The 7,541-nt window shown below is 34.1% G+C and overlaps 1 protein-coding gene across 2 annotated transcripts in view; it reads right to left on the bottom strand.

The window, feature by feature from the left end:
• Positions 1-641: 641 nt before the first annotated feature.
• The window catches only part of MAN1A2 (mannosidase alpha class 1A member 2), a 161,424-nt gene continuing 154,524 nt past the window's right edge, over positions 642-7,541 (bottom strand). Inside the window, exons 13-14 of one of the 2 annotated variants that reach the window (XM_006710302.4) lie at positions 6,577-6,689; positions 642-6,264 (exon numbers count right to left, since the gene is read on the bottom strand). In XM_006710302.4, the coding sequence (XP_006710365.1) occupies positions 6,257-6,264; positions 6,577-6,689 (121 nt within the window). In that variant the 3' untranslated portion in view covers positions 642-6,256. Of the gene's footprint in view, positions 6,690-7,541 lie in introns of both variants that reach the window. The other variant, NM_006699.5, reaches the window with a different exon arrangement.

The following is a 7,541-nucleotide window of genomic DNA, read 5'->3' as shown; positions in this document are numbered from 1 at the left end:
TGCAATTAATTTTGATACATCCACAATGTAATTTCTTAAGTCTAAAATTTTGATCAAGTTGAAATCCACTGTGCCAGGAAGAATTAAGAAATCAAGGATGTAAACTAGCTGTTATTTCAGAAGGTTTTTACCACTACCTTATTTGATGCTCCCCGGGTAAGGGGTTTTAAATATCCTTTACTTTTACAGTATTGACAGACTAAACCACTATCTATAGTCCAGCTGATACTATTGCTGAAGGCTTTTGGGCCTATATTTGCCCAAAAATCACTTAAGAAGGGTCAGGTCAGATTTTAGTGTGACAGAATGAGGTCCAGTGACTGAGGCAGTCTTTAAGCTTAATGATCTCAGAGGCTGAACTGGACTAGGTCTTAGAGATAACATCACAGTAATACTATAAGGTTGTCACATAAGTCTATGGTTTGTTTTCTCAAAATCAGTTGGAATAAAATACGACTCTCTAAGCAAGCTCTTCATCTTTCTATAACATCAAGAATGTAAAGATTAGCTGATCCAAAAGAAATACTCTCTGAATGAGAGACTGAAGACCACCAGTTACTGTAAAAGCCAACGTTGCTCTTCTGTACATAGGAAGAAACTGAACTGTCATCAGCGGGTAAAAATGAAGGCTAAACAAAGAATTTTCACTTAAAGAACATCTTTATTTGAACTTTAATATACAATATTACCTTTAATTTATAAAAATCACATACTGGAGGACATGACTGGAAACCAGTTTAGGAGCAGCCAGTGGGTACCAATTTAGGAGATTATACTTACCCCACTTATTAGTTTAAGAAAAAATTCTATCAATGAATTTGAGACCAGTGATATTGAAGGATGGCATTTCAACTTCCAAATCCAGTAATTAAAATTGAAGATACTTTAATTCAGCAAAAACTTCTAAATTTTCTTTAAAAATATTTTTTCCCAATGAAGAACTGAGCTTATCTTTATTATGTTTTCTGGTATACATCTTACAGAATTTTGTAGAAATAAAACAGCCACAAGACATTTGCAATTATTTAAAATCCTCTGCATATTAATATGTATGTGTATAGGTGTGTGTGTTTGATCCCCACACTTACATTCACACCGAGCTGAAGCAACCTGACAGCATGTTGGACCTGGAAAGGCAGTTCATTTATAATGTGGAAGAGAGACAGTAAGTCTCTGCTCCCTCTATCATCCTGAATACAGGCTTCCCCTCCTCTAAAATTTCCCCAAATAGTGAAATATTTGATAAAATTCTTAAAGAAAAATCTATTATCTGTTAGCATGATTGGAGCACTGCAATGTATATGCTAGTAATATGGTGTGTAATTTCACAAGCAATTTTATGAGTTCTGCAATTGCTAGGCTCAAACCAAGTTTGAAATGGATTAGCTGTTAAATAGTGGAAGTTTAAGGATGAGGTATGCTTTAGTTGAAAATGATGCATATAGACATTCTGAAATAATGCTACTTACTTGTAAAGGATTGAGAGTTATGCAAGAGAAAGGGATTCTCCTTTTGGATATATCTTTTCTCTGCACTCCTCAGACTCAGGCTATTCTAGAGGTAACAGGGGCAGTACCGTTCTGCAGTCTAAAAAAGGAATAGTGGCTGCCAAATAGCAGATGAGTCACATAACCCATTTTCTGTTGCTTAGAATTCTTCAAAAGTTTGCTTTCTGCAGCACAAAGATCAGACATTCTATCATATTCTTGCTGTAGAGCTCTAAGAGTACCCAAGTGGGTGAATTTCTGCAGCTCTAGCAATCCAGAATCCTGGTTCAAGGGTCAATGAGCAGGAGAACTTGGAGAGTATATTATTTTGACAATACACAGACCTTCTTTTTACATAGAGAATCTGAAATTATGGCATTAAATGACAAGGCAAAGAAAATGGCTGATAGCATACCCATCTTCCCTTACCCTATTCTGTCTCTTTCATTATAGTCAATCGTCCTGAAACCTGAACAGACTCCAGGAAGAGTGTATCTGCTTTCAAGACAACAAAATATTATAGCTTTAGGTTATACAGATACACACAACCATATATACGCACATCTTTTTGATTTAAAAATGAATTATGTAAATCAAAACAGAAAAGACGCAGATCAAAGGTTAGAGGGTCTAACACAAAATAAACTTGGGATCAGGGTCACTAACTATGACCCATGGACCAAATCCAGCCCTCCATCTGCTTTTGTAAATAAAGTTTTCCTGGAACATAGCTACGCCCATTCTTTACATAGTATCTCTATCTGTTTTCGATACTTCAACAGCAGAAATGAGTAATAAGAGAGACTGTATAGCTCTCATAGCCTAAAATATTATCTGGAAGCTGGCTGAACAGTTATAGATCAAAAAGAGCATGTCCATCCTGATCTGAATGAGCTAAAGTAACAGAAAATCATCTTTATCAGTGTTCTTGAGCCAGGATAAATGGATTAAAATATCTCCATATCATATATAGTTACTCAAATATTCTGCTTATTTGTGCAGCCGAAACCAGTTTTCAACTGTGTTTGTTAACAAAGAGTATTAAAAATTATCTGTGTATAATTGTATTTATATACATATATAGATCTTGATCTCTCATATATCTCATATATCTCTCATATATATATATATATATATATATATATAGAGAGAGAGAGAGAGAGAGAGAGAGAGAGAGAGAGAGAGGAAAAGATAGGACCTAGCCAATTTGAGTATAAGGAAACCTAAAGAAAAATAACTCAAAATACTATTACTAGGAACTGTTATTTGGAACTTTGAATATTTTAGTATATTTTTCTTTATATTTAACAGCATGGGACTATTAATAGGGCCCATACCAGAGCAGACACAATTTACAACTGCAAGTTTTACCCATGAATTATGTGACAAAATCTTTTTGAATATAAAATAACCAGCATTTCTATAAAACACTGCTTTTTAATTATGCAATTAAAGTGATATAGCAAAATAAGAACGTTTTTATTTCTAAAGTAAATATTTTAGTCAAAGTTGCATCAGAAATCAAGTATTTCTTTGACATTTTCAAGAGGTTTTAGTTATTAACTACAATTATAGTTGTATTATACAGTAACACATTGTTTTAAAATATATTATAAACCTTTTCTTTTTCCTCTTTAATTTATATGAAATATAAAATTAAGAATTTTGTAACACGATTCATATTGGAAACATTTAAAATGTTGTGAGCTACTCTCATACAGAAAATGCTGTGGAATCACATAAAACATTCTAATGATTGAAAGTGCCAGGCACAATGCTTGGCACATGTTAGATACTTCATAAATGTTCGTTCACACATTCTCTCATTTACTCATGCACTCATTCAAAAAACTCCAGGCTTAAGGAGAAACTGCATTATAAATGAGAATGGCAAACACAATCTTTTATCAACAAATTTGGAGTTTTGACAAAGACTTTGGCAATGGAGAGTGGAGAAGATGAGAGGATGATGATTAATATTTCAAACTGCTTGGTTAAAATCTAGCAAGTATAGCCCTGAGTTGCTCTATATGACATCATAGAGGATCAGGGTCAATACTCCATAAAAAGAATGCATTTCCCTTCGATACCCAGGTTTTATTTTACATATAAACACCTGCTTAAAGTCAGGAATACGCTGATGTTAGAGAGATACAAAATGTGCAACCCACAAGAAAGTAAGAACCACCTGACTGGGGACTTATTTTTCTGAGTTGAGACTTCTTTTTGGTTAGGGCCCCATTCCCTTGGTTTTAACAACTTAATACTGGTTGAATAATAATAATAATAATAATCTGGTTTAACATAAAAAGTGTGATTCTAAAATGAAGAGAAATAAATGTAGAAGGAAGAACAGTGTTCAAAATTCCTATTTTTTTCGATTATGCACCAACTGATGTATCTATTCTGCACATTTGTGCCAAAGGCACAAGGTAAGGTGTCAGCTCTTTGAAGAGGCACCTGAAAAGGACCATTTCTGGGCTTTTTGCAGAAGATCTTATAAATGCAATGAATATTTAACCTGAGTATTAAGGTCTACAAAATGCAAAGAGCTGTAAAAGACAGAAGAAAGTAAAGAATATTCTTGGAAGCTAAGCATTATATGGGATAAGAATTGATCTTGAAGGAAATAATTTAAAAATCTATAACAAAAATAAAACATGACACTGGCAAGTCATTTGTAGCTGACTTTAATTGCCTTTGGTATTCAGGAGAATAAAAAAATGGAAGTACTTTTATAAGCTCTAGTCTTTCCATCACATAGAAGGTAAGGAGTGGTGAAGAAGACCCTTCCATTGTCCCTGTCAAATTCTTTGTTTGTACCAGAACTGGCTCTGCTTGTATACTTCCCTGCCTTCTCTTAAGCTTCAGTCATCTGGGTAATACAAATAGAGCACTTGGAAGTAGGGGTTCTGTCTCCTCATCCCTTGAGAAGTTCCTGCAGAACCAAGAAGGTCCCTTTACTCTGCATTCTTCTAAATAAGGTAAAAGAGAATTCAGAGAGTTCATTGCCATCTGCACTGCTGCTCTGCATCTTTGCCAACTCAAGTTTTTCACTTTTTCTCAGTGATTCATAAGTGGGCTTGTGCTACTTTTACGAGGAAGGCTAACATTTTTTAGAACCAAATACTTTCCCTTTTCCCTTCTACAGTTACAGTAATATATATACCTTTCTCATTTAGAAATTTAAATGTTCAAGTAGTAAAAGATATTACAATGTCAAAACATGTGCTATAATTTAACTCTCTTAAGGACTATTGTAACTGGCCCTGCATCCTTATTTTCTACTGAAATTTTTTTGCAGTGAAAAATTTTATACTGAAAAAATTTGCAGTGGTTATCATTTACGGATCAGTAGAACTGTCAAAATTAACGATTCGTGGTATAAGATGATCAACCTTAGAAAATACTATATTAGTTAATTAAGTCTTTCCCCAACTTAAAACCTAAGTTTAAAAGAAAAGCTTATCAAACAAGAAAATAAGCCTTCAGAATTCCAAGGTGGGCTTCTTGTACAAACTTTGTTTCAGGAAATCTTCAAATTCAGAGTAAATGTTATACTAATTATACTGTTTCTAAGTTTTATTAATGTCAATGGAAGATGCCTATATTAAATGAAAAGAGCAAAAGTATCTTGCACTGTCACATAAATTTAAGGACAGAAAATTTATAAGCACTAGATATTTATCTTACAGTTCCTGATAAAATTTAAGTTCTTTTTGTCAAAATATAAAGAACTAGTAGTTTATTTAAAAAGAAATATCAATGCAAAACCTACTGATAGTAAGATAAAGTTCCTTAGATGTATCCCAATTTTAGTGTAATATGATTAATTACAACACTCTTTTATCACTGAAAATTATTTTGAAACTATTCTGATTCTTTGGAATTCTATAAATATTCTTGGAGAAAATTAAAAAAACATAAAATATCTGTGAACAACTCACTCATCTGATGAGATTATAAATAAAAGATCCCCTGTCCCTATTCCAGATAGAATATTTTAGAAAGTTTCACTGTTTGTTCTGCTTTAGTAAGTTATAAAAGTAATTTATTTAGCTTATCAAGGCAAATTTAGAGCTGCCTTATAGTGATTTTTGCCAAGCCACATAAATAAAGTTGTAAGTTGAGTGACTCTACTAACTTTATTATGAAATTAAAGTGAATAAAATTTACTTGGTAGATGTGTTGGTCTGGAAAAATAATGTAGCAACAAAACCAAGGATTGCTCTTAGGTTTCAAGGCAACAAACTGCGGCATTTTCCCCACTTTCTGTCATGCTACCAACACTAGACTGAACTACATGCACAAAATCCCAAACCCAGGCTCATAAGTGGTGATTATGATAAATAGCAGTTTCGATGATTCCATAAGAAGAAAAAGACTTGAGTATTCTTTGTGAGATCATGCCCCCAGAGAAAATTAAACTTAACCAAGAAATTTCAATGAAATAGACTGGGATTTGAAATGGTTGCCAGTCTGGTCATCCAATGGGGAACTTGAAAATTCAGATAGGGATAGGTACTCCTGTTTCTTTTTTGAGTCTTCTTGTTACTGATATAATTATACTATTCTTTTGTTCTTGTTTATTTTAGTTCATTCCATTATTAAAATGGAGAAAAAGTGATAAGCAATATGTAAATATTTGATTTGAATGCTGCTCCACTGTAGGAGGAAACAAATACATAATTGGTTCCAAAGGCCATCTTGAACTCCTGCAAGGTGCTCTATATTCTTGACTTGCTTTCAGGAAGTCTAGCCTCCAGACTTCAGGACTCTAAAAACAATACAGTAGTAACAGGTATCATTTCTCATGTGACCACCTCATTAACGATCAAAGCACATCCAGGTCTCTGTCCTACACATATCAGAACATGTTTTGGTCAGGTATAAAATGGAATAATTTCAAAGTTGATGTATCTACAAGTTGAACAGTCTTAGGGGGAATAGTTTCACCCTGTCATGTTGACATAGAGGTCCAGGTTTTCAAAAGCCGCCCCTTCAAACTAATTTCTGTAGTGGTCCATGTAAACAAAACACAGGTGAGAATGGTCCTTCTGGAACTGCTTTCATCGAACAGCAGGATTACCTGAAAGTGTGGTGTTGGCTAAATGTAACACAGGCAGAGGGTGAGCCTCTGTATTAAACACCCAGTGGTCTAAAGGTAAAAGGTCATCACCGGAGAACAGCAGATACAAATATCTGAAAATAAAAAGGGGAGAAATGAGCTTCAGTTAGAATTCAACAAGAACATGAAGTGAGCTCACTTTTAATGGCACAGAAAACCAATAACGTATTTTGAGCAGCTTTGATGAAAAACATCAAAGAAATAAACCTCAGACACCCAAATGATCTAAACACAAAGACAAGAGGTTTCAGAATAGTGTATAAGAAATCCAGTAAGATGAACAACTAGACCTACTGAAATAAAACAGTTTAAAAAAAAATCCGGCCAGGTGTGGTGAAGAGAGCAGACACCTTTGTCTTGTTCCTAATCTTAAGAGCAACACATTCAGTTTTTCAATATGATGTTAGCTGTAGGTTTTTCATATATGCCCTTATCAGGGTAAGAAGTTTCCTTCTATTCCCAGTTTGCTGAGAGTTTTTATCAGAAATGGGTGTTGGATTTTGCCAAATAATTTTTCTGTCTACTGAGGTGGTCTATTTTAGTTCATTGATTTTCAAACATTAAATCAACCCTCCACACCTGGGATAAACCCATTTAGTCATAACATATTATCTATGTAATTTGTTGTTAGAGTTGATTTGTCAAAATCTTGTTTAGTTCTATCTATGTTCAGGAGGAATATTGGTTCTGATGAGGACTCTGCTGTCATTCATTTTTTTCCATAAGTTACTGGGGTACAGGTGGTATTTGGTTACATGAGTAAGTTCTTTAGCAGTGATTTGAGAGATTTTGGTGCACCCATAACCTAAGCAGTACATACTGCCTCATATTTGTAGTGTTTTATCCCTCGCCACCCTCCCACTCTTCCCCCAAACTCCCCAAAGTCCACTGTATCATTCTCACACCTTTGTGTCCTCATAGCTTAG

This window comes from Homo sapiens, chromosome 1, assembly GCF_000001405.40.
Source record: "Homo sapiens chromosome 1, GRCh38.p14 Primary Assembly".
In the NCBI taxonomy this organism is placed as follows: domain Eukaryota; kingdom Metazoa; phylum Chordata; class Mammalia; order Primates; family Hominidae; genus Homo; species Homo sapiens.
This window is presented reverse-complemented; position numbering and strand designations above follow the sequence as displayed.